Source organism: Homo sapiens, chromosome 5, assembly GCF_000001405.40.
Source record: "Homo sapiens chromosome 5, GRCh38.p14 Primary Assembly".
NCBI lineage: Eukaryota > Metazoa > Chordata > Mammalia > Primates > Hominidae > Homo > Homo sapiens.
In genome coordinates this window covers 131,598,328-131,617,370 of record NC_000005.10, presented here as the reverse complement: position 1 = coordinate 131,617,370, position 19,043 = coordinate 131,598,328, and the positions used below count along the sequence as shown (strand labels likewise).

Below are 19,043 nucleotides of genomic sequence, written 5' to 3'. Positions count from 1 at the left end.
CAGAGCTGAAATAGGCATAATTTAAACACGGTTGTCTCCAGAGTCCAAATTGGGTTTTTTTTTGTGTGTGTGTGTGTGGTGCTGTTTTTTTAGAGACCAAGTATCTCCACATTGCCCAGATTGGCCTCCTACTTCTGGGCTCAAGTGATCCCTCCTGCCTCAGCCTCCTGAGTAGCTGGGACTGCAGGCATCTGCCACTGCATCCAGCTGTCTTCCACATTGTTAGACTGCCTTCCAAATGATTTGTAGAAGATTCCTCAGCATAACTTTTCATTATAGAACCATAGCTGCAGAATGTATGTATGATACAGTTGAATTTGTGCTGACCTTAGGATCTATCCTGGGACATTTTTCTTTGTTAAAATTCCTGGGATAGATTTATTTTCTAGGTTAAGAAGAGAATGAATAAAATATCTTGGTTAATGAAAGTTTTGGATAATGATGTTTTATTGAAAGTTTTGTGTGCCTGGGTGCGGTGACTCACACCTATAATCCCAGCACTTTGGAAGGCCAAGGTAGGAGGATCCTTTGAGCTTAGTTCAAGACCATCCTAGGCAACATAGACCTTGTCTCTACAAAGGAAAAAAAAAAAGCTGGGGGTGGTGGCACACTCGAGAGTCTCAGGAGGGAGGATCACTTGAGCCTGGGAGGTTGAGGCTGCAGTGAGTCGTGATTGTGCCACTGTACTCCAGCCTGGGCAACATAGCGAGAGCCTGTGTCAGAGAAAAAACGTTGTATGTGATGAATTAAGTGTATCATAGGTAAGAAATTCACTTGTTTTAAACTTTAAGAACCAGAAAAATGCAAAAATTTTTTAAGCATCCCAGTTTGAGTTTTCCAAGTTTTGGTTGATTTTCTAAACACCTGTAGAAGGACAGTGAGGAGAATTGGGAAATGGAGTTTCCGAGAGCAGCACAGTTGCTTGGCATAACATTGTAAACTAAGGAAGGGGAAAAAATTCCAACCTGCTTAATTAGAAATATATGTTTAAATTAGTAATTACTTGTTTATACAGTGCTCCAAATATGAGTTTATTTTCATTTAACAACTAAATTGAAAATCCACAGAATATACCTGCAATGAATGCTGTAAGTAAGAATTGTTTAAAGGGTATACAAGAGTTGTCTTGTTATACAATGGCAGCTGTCCACCCACCTCAGCTTATCCCACCTTCGCTATAAAAACTACTGGCTGAGAGGGTGTAGCTTATCTGTTTTAGGAAGTACCAAGTCATCACCACTTCCTCACCTTCTTCTTCTTTTTTTTTCGCCCCTAGGTAGAACCCATTATTTTATTCCCTAATCCTGAGCTGGTACTTGTTTTTCTAATACCCCTGGACAATTTCTGCAGTATTTTGTTGCAGTTACAGAACTAGTGCTGAATCAGATGTTACTGATCTGGGATGTCAGGATATGCCAGGTGGATAGTTTTCCCACCCTTCTCATGACTTCCCTCTTTTTTTTTTTAATTGAGACAGGGTTTTGCTCTGTTGCCCGGGCTGGAGTACAGTGGTGTGATCTCCGCTCACTGCAGCCTCCGTGCCCGGGTTCAAGCAATTCTCATGCCTCAGCCTCCCAAGTAGCTGGGACTACAGGTGTGCGCCACCATGCCCAGCTAATTTTTTTGTATTTTTAGTAGAGACGGGGTTTTGCCATGTTGGCCAGGCTGGTCGTGAACTCCTTACCTCAAGTAATCCGCCCACTCTGCCTCCCAAAGTGCTGGGATTATAGGTGTGAGCCACTGTACCCAGCCGACTTCCCTCTTGAAAGCTACATAGAGCAGCTTTCAAGTGCATTCAGCGTAAATGATTAGCACCTCCTTGAATCTAGCATTTAAATTTTTTACTGCCGAAGACTGTCTGTAAGACTTCCAGTCTGACTCTGTCAGGGTTCTTTCTTTTTTTATTTGTGACTTTATGCCTAATAGATAATATAGTACCTCAAGCTTATCTTGCAGATAATTGACACAAAAGCCCCAAGAAACCCTTTTCCAAGCTCAGCATTACAGACTCCACAACTCCATGCTGTCCTGTGTAAACAAAATGCCATAACCCCCACATCATATGAAAAAGAATTAATCAGCTCACCACTACAACCATTCTTTATTCTGTTTTGTGAATGCTTAGCATTCTTGTGACCCTCAAACTAGGTACACAAAGAAAGGGACTAGGATTTACTAGGCATCTTAATGCTTGTTGTCTTTCGCTATTAATAGGTCAGACAATCCAGAGTGACATAGATCCCACTTATAAACAGTGGTTCTCAAACTTTAGTGTGCAGAAGAATCACCTGTAGGACCTATTAAATCACAGACTGCTGGTCCCTACAACCCAGATATTCTGATTGACTAGATCTGGGGTGAGGCCTGATAATTTACATTTCTACAAAGTTCCTAAATGATGCTGATTGTGCTGGTTCAGGATCTCACAGGGTTATTACTTACATGCAACAGAACCCAATTTTGGCCAATCGAAAGAAATAATTTACTGAAAGGATTCTGGGTAGCTACAGAATTACTTGGAATACTGGAAAACCAGACTTGGGGCTAGGCTTGGGATACTAGAAAAACAGGCTTGGGTCTGTGACCCTTATCACAGATTTGGTAGATACTACTGCTACTAGCAGTGAATAGTGAGTGCCACAGTTTGCACTGTGGACCACCTGTACTGTCCATTGCGTATGTTGTAGACCCTTGATATGGTTTGGCTCTGTGTCCCCACCCAAATCTCACGTTGAATTGTAATCCCCAGTGATGGGGGAGGGACCTGTGGGAGGTGATTGGATTATGGGAGCAGATTTGCCCCCTTGCTGTTCTCGTGATGGTGAGAGTTCATTCTCTTGAGATCTTGAGTTGTTTAAAAGCATGTAGCACTTTTGTTCTACTTTGCTGTCTCTCTCCTGCTGGCTATGTCGAGATGTGCTTGCTTCCCTTTCACCTTCCACCATGATTTTAAGTTTCCTGAGGCCTTCCCAGGCATGCATCCTGTACAGCCTGCAGGACCATGAGCCAAACCTCTTTTCTTTATAAATTACCGCGGCTCCGGTAGTCTTTTTCTTTTTCTTTCTTTCTTTTTTTTTTTTTTTTTTTTTGAGACAGAGTCTTGCTCTGTCACCCAGGCTGAAATGAAGTGGCATGATCTTGGCTTGCTGCAACCTCCGCCCCTCAGGTTCAGGCGATTCTCCTGCCTCAGCCTCCCAAGTAGCTGGGATTACAGGCACCTGCCACCACGCTCAGCTAATCTTTGTATTTTTAGTAGAGATGGGGTTTCACCATGTTGACCAGGCTGATCTCCAACTCCTGACCTCAGGTGATCCACCCACCACAGTCTCCCAAAATGCTGGGATTACAGGTGTGAGCCACTGTGTCCAGCCGGGTAGTTCTTTATAGCAGTGTGAGAATGGACTAATACAACCCTGCTGCAGCCACTGGCTGCCCAAGCGGATTCTATGCAGTTCTTGCTTCTCGGTGTCACTAGCTTCTGATTTAAAGTCTGGGATGAATATGTCTAATTGGTAACACTTGAATAATTTGCCCCTGCCTTTGTTGTATGGGAGGTTGGAAAAATAAAAATTTGGTGTTTTCAGCTTTCATGGTGGGAGACAGAACTCCACTGAAACTTATAAGGTGGTCTGTTGTCAGAGAGGAGCTCATTCATGCTTGGCCACACTGTAGCTATTTTTGACCATATGTTTCAGGAGCTAACAAAATATGACCAGCTATTTTTGTAAGTAAAGTTTTATTGGAACAGTCACACCCATTCATTTACCTGTTGTCCATGGCTGTTTTCATATTATAAAAGCAGAGCTAAATAGTTGTGATAAAAAACCATCTGGGCCACAAATATTTACTATTTGGCCCTTTATTGAAAAAGTTTGTCAACCCCTGACAGGAATAATGCTGACATACATACATATATATATATATATGAAGAGAGAGAGAGAGTCACACACAGACAGACAGACACACGGAGTCTCGCTGTGTCGCCCAGGCTGGAGTGCAGTGGCGCAATCTCAGCTCACTGCAAGCCCTGCCTCCTGGGTTCACACTATTCTCCTGCCTCAGCCTCCCAAGAAGCTGGGACTGTAGGCGCCCGCCACCATGCCCGGCTAATTCTTTGTATGTTTAGTAGAGACGGGGTTTCACCGTGTTAGACAGGATGGTCTTGATCTCCTGACCTCATGATCTGCCTGCCTGGGCCTCCCAAAGTGCTGGGATTATAGGCGTGAGCCACCACACCTGGCCATAATGCTGATATTTTAGTTCAGGGTCATGCAGTCAACATTACAGATGTTGTGAAGGACTACATGTTCATTTGTCCAAATTGTCCCTTTAAAATAAGGAGATTACAAACAAATATTTGAAGCTCTTTGAGGAGGGGCTTTTCAGATTTAAAGTGATAAACCTTATTAGTCTCTCTTTAGGCAGAGAACTGAAGATACATGTATATCTCAAACTTGTGAGTGAAATTCTCTTTCAGACTTTAACATTGAAAAGTTAATTTCTAATTCTTTCTCATATATTCATGGCATTGTTAATGATGTGCCGAAGATGTCCTGTAACTTGAGAAAGGAGAAAATTATATGATATAAGTTTAGTTGAGAGTCTTAGAAAATTCTGGTTCCCTGTAACACTAGCCTACCCACATGGAGTAAGTCAAGTTATGGGAGTTCTGTTTGCCATAACCTAACTTTTGTGTATTACAATTTTCAGAACTTGTTTGCCACCAGAACAAGTTGTCTTGTCAAAAATTACAAGCACATTTCCACAGGATAGACATTTTGTGAGTGCCTGCCTGCCTACACCTAACTCAGTGGTTGGGGCCCAGGCAGCCGTGTTTGTAGTACAGACATTCCTTGACTTACAATGGGGTTATATCATAATACAACCATGGTAAGTTGAAAATCTTGTAAGTCAGAAATGCATTTAATATACCTTACCTACCAAAAATCATAGCTTAGCCTACCTTAAACATGCTCAGAACACTTACATTAGCCTACAGTTGGGCAAAATCATCTAACGCAAAGCCTATTTTATAATAAAGTGTTGTGTATCTGGTATGATTTATTGAATACTGTACAGAAAACGGTGAAAAACAGAATGATTGAATGGATATTCAAATTATCGTTTCCCAGGCTGTCATCACCAAAAAAAAAAAAAAAAAAAAAAAAATTAGCTGAGCATGGTGGTGCACGCCTGTAGTCCCAGCCACTTGGAAGGCCAACGTGGGAGGATTGCTTCAGTCCTGGAGATCGAGGCATCAGTGAGCTATGATTGCCGTCACTGCACTCAGCCTGGGTGACAGAGTGAGACCCCGTCTCTAAAAGCAAAACAAGACAGAAACATAATTCAGTGTCCACTGAATGCATATCGCTTTTGCATCATTGTAAAGTCAGGAAATCTTGTCGAACCATTGTAAGATGGGGACTGTCTCTATATGGCCACACTTACTCCGGCTATTGTTACATAATAAGGCATGAAAAAATGGGGGAAAGTGTATAATTTGGGAAGAAAGAAATAATACTGTATTCATAGGCAGGGCCATTGTATATGCAGAGAATCAAAAATAATCTACAAACTCTGAAAATTAAGTGAATTTATTAACAAGATGGTTGGACTCAAGTTTATTATATAGAATCAATTGATTTATGTAAACCAGCAATAAACCAAAAAGCCTCTAGTTTAAAAAATGACTCTTTTTGAGACAAGAATCTCACTCTGTCACGCAGATTGGAGTGCAGTGGCATGATCCCGGCTCACTGCAACCTCTACCTCCCAGGTTCAAGTGATTTTTGTGCCTGAGCCTCCTGAGTAGCTGGGATTGTAGGCATGCACCACCACACATAGCTAATTTTTGTATTTTTAGTAGAGACGGGGTTTCACCATATTAGCCAGGCTGGTCTCGAACTCCTGACCTGAGTTGATCTCCACTCACTTTGGCCTCCCAAAGTATTGGGATTACAGGTGTGAGCCACCACACCCAGCCAAACATGACATTATTTAAAAATACTAGAAAACTAAATATTTAAGAATAAATCCAACAAAAAGTATAGAAAATTTATTTACTGAATACTACAAAGTGTTCGTGTTAGTCTGGGTTCTGTTAGAAGCAGTTGTCACAACAATATTAGACATGCAAGGAATTTATTAGGGAAAATGCCTCTGAGCAAAAATGGAGAGAGTTGGTAGAGCATTCACACCAGAATGCTCATGTGACATTTGTGAAGGAGAGACGAAAGGAAGTTTGAGTGGAAGAGCCTTAGACTGCACTGTAACAGTGGTTTAGCAAGGTGGAAGGAGAATCCTTGAACCCATCAGAGTATTCCTGAGTCTCCCAGAACAGGCATTCCTTAGTATTTTTACCAGGCTCAGTTATTGATTGGGAGTATCGCATGGGAAGCTGGGCCCCAGTTCAAACATGTTGATAAATTACAGAGCCCCGTAATAGGGATTTTGTTCAAATACACTCCCTGTAGTTTGGAATCTGAGAGGCATATTTTCAAGGCCACCTGAGCTTACACTTTGCACCACACAAATCTACTTCTTCACATAGGTTTGAAGTTCAGGGAGCAGCTCCTCCATGGCTCTCAATGAGCTTCTTTTCCTGAGAAGAAACTTAGACAAGAGATGGTGGTGGGAAGAATTATAGCCCCTGTATGGTTGATCTCGGGGTTGCAACTGGTACTTATCCTCTCTCCTCCACTATGCATTTTGTTTTCTCCTCACATAATCAGCTCTGCAGGTCTCAGTGGCTTATATGTTGGTATGACTCAAGCCTTCTTTCCTGAAATGTCTGAACCCTTGGTAATCATTCTTCTCAGGCTAATGCTGGGATATATATCCGTTTACAGTTACAGTGAGGTAAAGGAATAACCAAGCGAGTCATGTGGATTCCACACATTCCTCTCTGTTCACATTACATAAAAGCAGCCCTGCGTCCACCTACTGCTCAGGATCAGTTATCCCTGCCAAAATGGCAACTCTTCTTACCTGCTGATTCTTGGGCCCTGGTGTTTAAAGTGCCCTGGTGGCAGCTGTAAACTTGTTCACTGAGACTCTTGTACTGTTGCCTGGCAAGAGTATAGGCCTTTGGAACCAGGACCTGCAAACATGCAGAGTCCATAGCTGTAGGAATGGGAAGTACAAAATCCCTTTGTGGCTCATTGGGAATAATGATAAATGGGTGACTCTTGCTTCTACTCATTTGTTTCTAGGCCCATCTGTTCTTCCTGCTGTATACACTGCTCCATATAGAGGTCTGTGGTTTGATGTATCTTCATATTAAAAGGTGTCATTCCATTATTTCACATTATTGCCTTTAAGCTGAAAGTTCAGCTATGCCTTTATAAGGTTATTACAGCGTTCTGTGAGGCCAGTTGCTTCTGGATTGTGTGGTATGTGATATGACTAGTGGTCCCAAGGTTGTGATCATACTCCTGTGTTTGCTTTGAATTGGGTCCACTGGTTGGACTCTGGTATGTGGGATTCTAGTCCTGTGGTTCAGGCATTCTGGAAGCCCCTGGATTATGATCCTGGCTGAACCTCTGAGGTAAGTAAGATAAACCCAAACCCAGAATATAGATATCTATCACTGTGAAATGAACTACTGGCCGTTCTGGGATGAGAGACACCATATATAGTCTACTTGTTATCAAATGACTGGTTGCTCTTCTTGAATAATAGGATCATATCAGGAACTCATACGGTTGGTCTCTGTTGCTGACAGGTTGGACATTCAGAAGTAGCAGTAGCTAGACAGACCTTGATAAGTGGAAGTTTATATTGTTGGACACATGTGTAGCCTCTATCTAGTGTCATTGTGGTCAGTCTAATCATCTATTAATTGTGCCAGTTCTGGGATATCCTTTTTTATCTTCATGGTTGTTCAGTGCCTCTTCCATGTTTAATGCCTTTTGGTGGGCATTAGTGTGGAATACAGAAAACTTTATACACTTTGTGCCCATTCCCATGTCTCCATCCTGTGTCTTTACCCTATCCCTCCTTGTCCCTGATCTTTTTGTCTTTTTCCTTCTAGACCCCTGACCAGACATCCATGCACTGGAATTTACATATATTTTCACCTTGGGCCACTGTCTTGTCTGTTTTGTGTTGCTATAACAGAATACTTGAGGCTGGGTCATTTATAAAGAAAGAGCTTTATTTGGCTCACAATTCTGGTGACTGGAAGATTCTAGATTGGCCACCTGCATCCAATGAGGGCCTCAGACTGCTTCTACTCATGGCAAAAAGTGAAAGGGGAGCAAGTGTGTGCAAGATCACATGGCAGGCTGGGCGCAGTGGCTCACGCCTGTAATCTCAGCACTTTGGGAAGCCAAGGCAGAATTGCTTGAGCCCAGGAGTTCGAGACCAGCCTGGGCAGCAAAGCAAGACCTTGTCTCTACAGAAAATAAAATAAATAAATAAATAAAACTAAATGGGCATGGTGTTGTGTGCATGTGCCTGTAGTCCCAGCTACTCAGGAATCTGAGGTGGGACGATTGCTTGAGCCCAGGAGGTTGGGGCTGCAGTGAGCCATGCTGATGCTGCGAAAAAAAAAAGAGATCACGTGGTAAGGGAGGAAGCAAGAGAGAGAAACCAAGGAAGCCAGACTTTTTTTAACAACCCTCTCTCGGGGGAACCAATTGGTTTCTGTGAGAGTGAGAACTCACTTACCCCCTCAGACAAGCATTGATCTATTTACAAGGGATCCACCCGCATGACCCAAACAGCTCTTGCTAGGTCCTACCTGCTAACACTGCTACATTGGGGATCAAATTTTAGCATGAGTTTTGGCAGGGACAAACCATATCCAAACCATAGCAGCTGCTATCCTTTGGCATGACCCATATCTACTGCTCACAACTCTACCCATTGAGGAGATTTTTCCTTTTCTCTTTCTTTTAAGGCTGTTCCTGAATGTGACTTCAACATAGCCTGTCAAAAAAAGAGTTAATAGAACAGATCTGAGACTGCTGTCCTTAGGAAGACCTATTTGTAAAGTAGTCTTTTTTGGCGGCTGGCATCTGGGAACTTGGATTTCAGGAATGTTCCCAGCATTTCATAACTGATAAGATTTAAAATATAGACATTCTTATCCAGGGTTAACAGACTTTTTCTATAAAGGGCCAAATAGTGAATGTTTTAGGTTTTGTGGCCCAGATGATTTTTCTTACAACTACTTAACTCTGCTTTTATAGCATGAAAAGAGCCATAGCCAATAGGTAAATGAATGGGCATGGCTATGTTTAGCAGTATCTCTTCTACCTACATGATGCCAGTAGCACCACTCCCTCAAAATTGTGACAGCCTAAAATAACTCCAGACGTTGCTAAATATCACCAAGATGGGAAGAATCAGTCTTAGTTCAGGACTACTACAATGATTTTTTCAGGTGGATCTTTACTTCACTTTAGATATTTCCGGATGTCCTATCTTATGAAAAACGTTTTATATATTTGTCTTTTTTGTTGTTGTTTTTAGTTGTTTTAGGTGAAGAGTAAGTCTAGTTTCTTTTATTTTATCTTGACCTAAAGCCAAAGTCACTTCGACATTGCAGGAGGTGTCCTGACGTGCCCCCAACCACTGTATCCCGAAAAACTTCACTGAAATGGCATATCTTTTGAGTCTTCATAGTGTTTATCTCCCATTTTCTGGAGCCGCATGTGTGTTACCAAGGACTCTAAGGGTACCAGTCACCTCTAGCCTATTCTTTTATTCATTCTGTCCAATCAGCATGATGTAATATATGTAAATAGATCAGGAGGTTTAGATGTCTGTCCCCCACCCAACCCCCACTGACTGTGTTATGACAGAGAGCGGAAGAGTTAAGAGTCCTAAGATAAAACTGTAAGTTAATATTGCCTTGCATGGATGCAGATTTTTTTCTGATCTTCTAATTGGAATGGAAAGTAAAGTAATGGAAAGTAACACCACATCAGTATTTGAGGCTTAATCAGCTTCAGCAGCAATATTATGGCTGAGACTGCAGGCTGTGATTAGGGCTAGAATTTGGTTCATTCTGTGGTAGTCTGCACAGTCATTTTTTAGGATCTGTCTGCTTTCTCCATAAATTAAATAGAATACAATAGAAACTATTACCTCTGCGTACTTCTGAGTCTTTACTGGTGGCACTAGTCTTTATTCTGTGCCCCTCTGGAAGAAATAGTCTTTTATTTACTGTCTTGTTCTGGGGAATGGGGCAGAGGTTTCCACTTGGCTTTTTCCATTGTGACGGCTTTTACCACACAGGTCATGGACCCATTATTTAGGGTATTCTAACTGCCAAGTATATAAATTCTAATTATAAACTGAGGGAGTGGGGAATGACCATTATTAGGTGGATCTGCAGACTCAGTGGACCCACTGTGAGCCACACTTTTGCCATGACTCTCTTTATTACCTACATTCAGCAGGTTCTGGCTGAGTGGTTGGTGCTTTTACCCCGTAGAGCCTCAATTGGGATCATTCTTTTAGTTCCATTCAATTGGTAGCTCTAAGCTGCTCTAGGAAGGCATAACTTACATATCTAGTACCTTGGTGTTATTCCATGTGGCCTTTCTGCCTCCCTAAGGCTAGCTGGAGCTTCCTCACAACATTAGTGGTCTCAGGGTGCTTGAATCTTTTATACAACCTCACTTCTATCGTATTCTTTTGGTCAGAACAAGTCACAGAGCCAACCCACATCTGTGGGGAGGGCACATAGATTCCAGGTTTTGATGGGTAACTGGCAAGACTGCATTGCAAAAGAGCATATGGGATAAGAAATACCTCTGTGGCCATCTTTGGAAATACAGTTTACCATATCAGTGCTTCATCTGCTATCTGCTAAAATTTGGTAGACCTTTCTTTTAACCTATTCAAATCTTTATTTTTATATACTTAAATATCTTTTTCACTGTTACTTTAGTAAGGATTTAGCAGAAATAAATGTGGTTGTTCAATTCACTGTGGTTAATTGACAGTTGTTATCTTTGGAATTAGAGATTATTGCCTTTTTTTTTTTTTTTTTTCCCTTGAGATGGAGTCTCAATCGCCTAGACTGGAGTGCAGTGGTGCGATCTCGGCTCACTGCAACTTCTTCCCAGGCTCAAGCCATCCCTCACACCTCAGCTTCCTAAGTAGCTGGGACTACAGATGTGTACCACAAGCCTGGCTAATTTTTTTAAATTATTTTTTGTAGAGGCAAGTTTCACCATGTTGCCCAGGCTGGTCTCTAACTCCTGGGCTCAAGTGATCCACCCACCTTGGCCTCATACAGTGCTGGGATTACAGGCGAGAGCCACTGTGCTCAGCTTGATGCTTTTCTTTTCTTTTCTTTTTCTTTTTTTTTTTTTTTTTTTTTTTTGAGATGGAGTCTCACTCTGTCACCCAGGCTAGAGTGCAGTGGCACAATCTCAGCTCACTGCAAGCTCCGCCTGCCGGGTTCACGCCATTCTCCTGCCTTAGCCTCCCGAGTAGCTGGGACTACAGGCACCTGCCACCATACCCGGCTAATTTTTTGTATTTTTAGTAGAGATGGAGTTTCACTGTGTTAGCCAGGTTGGTCTTGATCTCCTGACCTCATGTTCCGCCCGCCTCGACCTCCCAAAGTGTTGGGATTACAGGCGTGAGCCACCGTGACCAGCCTAGCTTGCTGCTTTTCTTAATGGCTCCGTGTTGTCTTATTAACCTACTAGAAAACAAGTTGTCTTTAGTTTCTCCCCCAGTACCCCCACTACTATCTGATAATTTTCTTGGCCAGTTGTATATCAGAGTGGGAAGGCAGTGTTTGGAAGTAGTTTGCCCTGGTATAAAGGCATTATTCCTCATAGGAAATAGGAAGTATGTTTTTTATAGCGAATTTAAGCTTGTCTGCTTTTTATTTTTTATTTATTTATTTTTTATTATACTTTAAGTTTTAGGGTACATATGCACAACGTGCAGGTTAGTTACATATGTATACATGTGCCATGTTGGTGTGCTGCACCCATCAGCTCGTAGCTTGTCTGCTTTTAATCTTAAATGACATCAGTGGTACAATACTATTTGCTGTTAGGGATCTATAGACTCTTTCCACTTTCTTCTGCTATGCCACTGCTCTTAGTTGAGGTTATACTATGTCATCTTGAGGTTTTTGTTGTTGTTGTTGTTTTAATGCCTAGTTATCTGGGTGAGGAATAGAGAAAGATGTTCTACCTCTTTCACAGAGTGAACAATAGGATTGTACCATTGGAAATCTTTTTTATTTAGTGGTAGATTATGTCATTTTGAGTCTCTTTAGAAAGAAATTCTTTAGAAAGTCATATTTTAAGAGGAATATTGATAAACTGGGTCATCTCTAGAGATGTCAGCCAGGATATTGGATATCAAATATTTGGAGGCCACTAAAGAAGGAAAGTTTACATCTGCTTAGAAGTGAAATAATGAATTAATATACTTTCATATAAAATAATGAATTTGGGGTTCTGGCATTGTTTGAATGAATAGAGGCCATTGGTCACGTTGAAGAGGAGTTCCTTTGAGAGCTGAGGGATCTCTTCTCTGCCTTTTCAAATCTTTTATGATTCAGAGGTTTTATGATTTTTCCATAGTTAACTGCTTTGCCATAAGTGGTTGTTTGCTTAAAATCAGAATTGTGGGGTGCCTTATATTTTAAACAGCATATTTGAAAAATAATCTAATTTTTTTCTTCTGTTCCACAGGACTTAAATACTATTTATTCTTATCTTCATGGAATGGAAATATTATCAAATCTCAGGGAACATCAGCTTAGGTAAGTGTCGTTCTGTATTTAAGAGCACACGCTGTATAGCCATTCATTCATTTATTCACCAAATATTTGTTAAGCACCTTTATATTCCTTATTGTTTTAAGCCCTTGGTATATGCATTATAGATTAGATCCCTGGTTTCCTGGAGTTTATATTTTGGTAGGGGTGATTTTGGAGTTGGGGAAAAACACTGACAATAAAAACTGAATTTGTTTTTCTTATTCAGTTTTTCTTAGCCATGGGACCTTAAGTCAGAACTAACCTTTAACTGTGGTTTTGTCTTCAATAAAATAGGGGTAATGATAGTATCTTTGTTGAAGTATTTCAAGGATTAAATGAAAATAAGTACCTAAAGCAAAACACAGTGTTGAGGTTGTGCTAGTTAGTAAAGACAAAACTCCTGTTATCTTTTTGTAGTTTGTGTTGATATTTATTATGCCAAATGCTTCAGCTGGGTATGGTATGTTGTATTATAGTGTTGTATTATACAAGTGAAAGGAGCAGGAATCTTGATTTGGCCTAAGCTCCTGTGGAGAAAACCCATAAACTTTCTGAACCTTGTTTTTTTCTTCTGAAAAATGGGCTGGCTATCTGTCCTGGTTATCATATATCATTATGATTATATTTATAAAAACACTTTCGAGTGCTATAAAACACTTAACTATATAATATTTTAATTAAACATGTGTTCCCACCACGAACAGCTTATCCAGTGACTTTTCCTGGGTTTTCATCAAGTTTCTGGTTATTGACCAGATTGATAAAATATAATTATTAGAGATTTATTATTTATTATATATTTTCTGTATAACATAATTCAGCTGTTAGTGTATGCCAAATAATTATATCAGGAAGAAAGAAAACTGAAAAATTAGCATTTTGTAATACTCAAAATATTTTTTATTGCAAACTGATTTATATATTCAGCAATTTTTTTGTATGTACATGCCTCTGCCAGTAACTGTTCTTCACACTGAGGATTCAGTAGTGAATCAGACAAATGTATATTTTTTGTAATGAAAACATTATTTGGTGTGAACTGACAGATTTTGACAGATTTTGTAATGTACATAAAGAGTATTAAGGTTGATGCCACTGAATATTACCTATATTATTGCATTATGTATATATATAAAATACACATATATTTCTAAACTCTCTGTAGTTTAGTGACAACATACTGGTAGATTTGGTCATTTTCTAACAATCAATTAGATTATAATAATTAGTTGAGGTCAAATTATAACAATTTTAAAAACAAAATGTAAGATAAAATCTTCAATTTTTTTTTTTAATAGATTAATGTCTGCAAGAGCACGCTATGAGAGATACAGTGGCAATCAGGTTCTCTTTTGGTAAGTATTTCCATAATTCACATAAACTAATGACTTTTATGTTTAAATTTTAACTCTTAGCATTGAAATTCATTTGATTCTGGGACAATTTATGTAGAGCACACTGAAAAATATTCATAGACCATGAAGTATATAACATACATAGAATCCACCAAAAGTGTACAAAGCAATGAATTTTAATAAATATATACTAAATGTGTAATGACTACTCAGATGAAAATAGAGATACCAGTTTTCCAGAAGGCTCTAATCAACTTTGAAAGGTAATGACAATTCTGACTTGTATCACTGTAGGTTAGTTTTGCCACTTATTGAACTTGGTATAGAGAGAATCTTTTGGTGATGCTTTTTTACTTAATAAATATCCAAATTTTTCTGTTTTTGTATGTGTTCTTTTTCACTGCTGTACAATATATAATTGTGTGCAAATAATGATTTGTTTGTCCCTTCCACTGTTAATAGTTGGGTTATTTCTAGTTTTCTTTTTGTTTGTTTGTTTGTTTGTTTTTGAGATGGAGTTTCGCACTTGTCGCCCAGGCTGGAGTGCAATGGCATAATCTTGGCTCACTGCAACTTCCGCCTCCCAGGTTCAAGTGATTCTGGTGCCTCAACCTCCCAAGTAGCTGGGTTTACGGGCATTAGCCGCCATGCCTGGCTACTTTTTGTATCTTTAGTAGAGATGAGGTTTTACCATGTTGGTCAGGCTGGTCTCAGACTTCTGACCTCAGGTGATCCACCTGCCTCGGCCTCCCAAAGCGCTGGAATTACAGGTGTGAGCCACCGTGCCTGGCCAATTTCTAATTTTTAGTATTATAAATAATACAGTTTCTATTAACATTCTGTTATTTTTGTGCCCTTATTGCTTACTCCTGTTGAGGATATTCCTAGGAATAAAATTATGGTCATGTGCCACATAACGTTGTTTCAGTCAGTGATGGACTATTGTGTCAAGTTGCCTGCAGTATTCAGTAGAGTAACATGCCGTGCAAGTATGTAAACTAGGAGCAATAGGCTATACCATATAACCTAGATGTATAGTAGGCTATACCATCTTCTAGGTTTGTGTTAAGTACACTCTATGATGTTAGCATGATGAAATCATCTAATGATGCATTTTTCAGAAAGTATCACCATCATTAAGCAAGGCATGACTGTAGTGGAAATGTGCATGTTCAAATTCAGGAGATTGTGACAGTTTTTTAAAATTAGTTGTACCAATTTTTTTTTTTTTTTTTTGAGACGGAGTCTCGCTCTGTCGCCCAGGCTGGAGTACACTGGCACAATCTCAGCTCACTGCAAGCTCCGCCTCCTGGGTTCGTGCCATTCTCCTGCCTCAGCCTCCTGAGTAGCTGGGACTACAGGTGCCCACCACCATGCCCAGCTAATTTTTTTTGTATTTTTAGTAGAGACGGGGTTTCACTGTGTTAGCCAGGATGGTCTCGATCTCCTGACCTCATGATCTGCCTGCCTCAGCCTCCCAAGGTGCTATGATTACAGGCGTGAGCCACTGCGCCCGGCCAATTGTGCCAATTTTAATAACCATTAGCTGTGTATAGTTAAGTTCCAGTTGCTCTACATGTTTGACAACCCTTAATGTTTGTGTTTTATTGTTTGCTTATTTTGAATTTTTGCTACTCTGCTGCTGATTACATTATGTTAGTTCATTGTGATTTTATTTTACATTTTCCTGTTACTAATGATGATGAATGACATTTATGTTTCTATCAGGTATTTGGATAGCTTCTTTTATTAATTGGGTTGTCTTTATCATTTCTGTTGATTTGTAAAAGTTATTTTTGAATTCTGAGTGGAAGTCCTTTGTTGGGTATGTCTAGTCTATTATCTATTTCCACTGTGCCACTTTTCCTTTTTTTTTTTTTTTTTTGAGACGGAGTCTCGCTCTTGTCACTGAGGCTGGAGTGCAATGGTGTGACCTTGGCTCACTGCAACCTCTGCCTCTCGGGTTCAAGGGATTCTCCTGCTTCAGCCTCCCGAGTAGCTGGGATTACAGGCGCCCGCCACCATGCCCAGCTTATTTTTTGTATTTTTAGTAGAGATGGGGTTTCACCATGTTGGTCAGGCTGGTCTTGAACTCGTGACCTCAGGTGATCCACCCGCCTCGGCCTCCCAAAGTGCTGGGATTACAGGCGTGAGCCACCGCTCCCAGCCTTCTTTTTTTTTTTTTTTGAAATGGAGTTTTCTTGCGTTGCCCAGGCCAGTCTTGAACTCCTAGGCTCAAGAGATCCTCCTGCTTCAGACTCCCGAGGATTACAGGCATACGCCACTACACCCAGCTCTTTTTGCTCTATTATTGGCATCTTTTGAGAAAGAGTAATTCCTTTCTCAACTTGTCCCCTTGTGATTAGGGCCTTTTGTGTCCTGTTTTAAAAAAAATCAAATCTTTCCTTTCTTCATGATTGCGAAGATTTTCTTTGTTTCTCCTCCAAAAGTTTGGTGTTTTCTGTCTCAAATATAGATCTACAATTCATCTTGGAATTGAGTTTTACTTTTGATGTGAGGTAGAATTCAAGATTCATTTTTCTTAATTTTAAAAATATTTATTAGTCATTTTAAATTTAATGAGAAACCCATCACGTTTCTTTTTTTCCTTCCTTCCTTCCTTCCTTCGCTCCCTCCTCCTCTCCTCTTCTCTCCTCTTCTCTCCCCTCCCTTCCCCTCCCCTCTCCTCTCCTCTCTTTTCCCTCCCTCCCTCCCTCCCTTCCTTCCTTCCTTCCTTCCTTCTCGTTAGTTCTTTTCGTCTCACCATGTCACCCAGGTTGGAGTGCAGTGGCGCGATCTCGGCTTACTACAACCTCCGCCTCCTGGGTTCATACGATTCTCCTGCCTCAGCCTCCGAAGTAGCTGAGACTACAGGCGCGTGCCACCACGTCTGGCTAATTTTTGTATTTTTAGTAGAGATGGGGTTTCACCACATTGGCCAGGCTGGTCTTGAACTCGTGACCTCAGGTGATCTGCCTGCCTCGGCCTCCCAAAGTGCTGGGATTACAGGCATGAGCCACTGCGCCCAGCCTCATTACATGTTAACACAATTAACATTTATGAGAAAGAACTATTTTCATAAAAGATTTAATTATAGTTTAGCAAATCTAATATCTTTCTGACATTAATCGGATTGTCATATCTGTTGCATTCAGTCTGTTGTGATATATTTTTTGAATGAAAGAAATCTTCATACAGAGAAGTTGTTAAAACAAAAAAAAATGCGGGAAAGTTCTTTTCAGATAAGTTGGGTATTCTTCTTTAAAACAGTACCAAAACTTGACAGGTTGCTTACAGATTAGTTTCAGTATGGGGTCTGAGACTTTATCCATGAACTTTTTACTGTGTTGCATTAGAAACAATTGGTCTATCTTGCACATTGAATAAATCATTTCTCTATGTTTGATTTTTGTAATGCCATGCGTTGGCCATTTGGAAAATATTCATGGTCCTGGTGTATGTAGTTTTTCTCATTTTGGCACTTTAAAAAAAAATTTATCAAAAATGGCATTGCTAATATCACCACCAGCCTCTTCTGAAAAGTTTAGGGAAGTGTCAAGCTCACAGTAATGGATACAAATTTTCTAAAATGTAAATTGTTGATTGAAGGCATGGATTTTATTATTGGCAAGATTCATTAGGTATCCCTATGGACATCCAGTTGATCCAGCACCATTTATTGAAAAACTATCTTTTTCTCTCTTGCGCTGCAGTGTCCACTTTGTGTTAAATTAAGTGACCCCGTGTGTGTAGGTGTGTGTGTGTGTATCTCTGTGTGGTCTCTTTATTTTGCTCAATTGTTTATTGCTCATTTGTTTATTGTTTATTTTGCTCATTTGTTTATTTTGCTCATGCCTGTGTTCATGCAAGTACTGCACTGTCAAGCTGTGTAGTTTGAGTTTTTTTGTTTGTTCGTTTTGTTGTTGTTGTTGTTTTTTGTTTTTGAGACAGAGTCTCACTCTGTCACCCAGGCTGGAGTGCAGTGGCAAAATCTCGGCTCACTGCAACCTCTGCATCCTGGGTTCAAGCGATTCTCATGCCTCAGCCTCCCGAGTAGCTGGGACCACAGGCGTGGACCACCATGCCCGGCTACTTTTTGTATTTTTAGTAGAGACAGGATTTAGTAAAGACGGGGTTTCACCACGTTGGCCAGGCTGGTCTCAAACTCCTGGCATCAAGTAATCCGCCCGTCTCTGCCTCCCAAAATGCTGAAATTACAGGCGTGAGCCCCCACGCTCGGCCTAAGCTGTGTGTTTTGATATCTGATAGCATGAGTTTGTATTCAGTAGAGTAACTCAGGCTTGTACTCAGGCTTGTTCTTCAAGATTGTCTTGGCTATCACTGTTGCTTTGCCTTTCTGTGTAAATTCTAGAATCAGCTTGTCAATTTCCACACACAGTTATACACAAGAAAGCCTTTGGGAGGCTGTGGGCTTTGGATTAGGATAGCATTAAATCCATAAATCAATTCAGAGAGAAATGACGTTGTTACAATGAATCTGTCAATCTGCAAACATGTATATTCTTCCATTTATTTAGTCTTCTTTAATTCTTCACAGCAGTGTTTTAGGAGGGTGTTTTTCCAACATAAACAGTTTGAGCAGTTTTTTCTGTAACACTTTTAAGATGTTTTATCATGTTCTTGCTTCTATTTATGTTGAAGACTCAGTAATCAGTGTTCTTGTTACTCCTTTGCAGTTAATATGTTTTTTCCTCTGACTGCTTCTGAGATTTTTCTTGCTTTTTGCTTTTCAGCAGTTTTGTCTAATGTTGCTAGGTATGGTTTTCTTTGGATTTATTCTGTTTAGGGTTTATAGATCTTCATGATACCCTGATTTGATATCTTTCATCGATTTTGGAAAATTCTTACAGAGTATTTTAAAAATTATTGCTTCTGTCCTGTTTTCTCTTTCCTCCTTCCTGCTTTATTTTGTCCCATATTTC

At 40.2% G+C, this 19,043-nt stretch overlaps 1 protein-coding gene across 6 annotated transcripts in view; it reads left to right on the top strand.

The window, feature by feature from the left end:
- The window catches only part of RAPGEF6 (Rap guanine nucleotide exchange factor 6), a 211,309-nt gene that overhangs the window by 17,859 nt on the left and 174,407 nt on the right, over positions 1–19,043 (top strand). For all 6 annotated transcript variants that reach the window (NM_016340.6, NM_001164388.2, NM_001164386.2 and 3 more), the window contains exons 2-3: positions 12,678–12,748; positions 14,044–14,100. In NM_016340.6, the coding sequence (NP_057424.3) occupies positions 12,678–12,748; positions 14,044–14,100 (128 nt within the window). The remainder of the gene's footprint in view (positions 1–12,677; positions 12,749–14,043; positions 14,101–19,043) is intronic.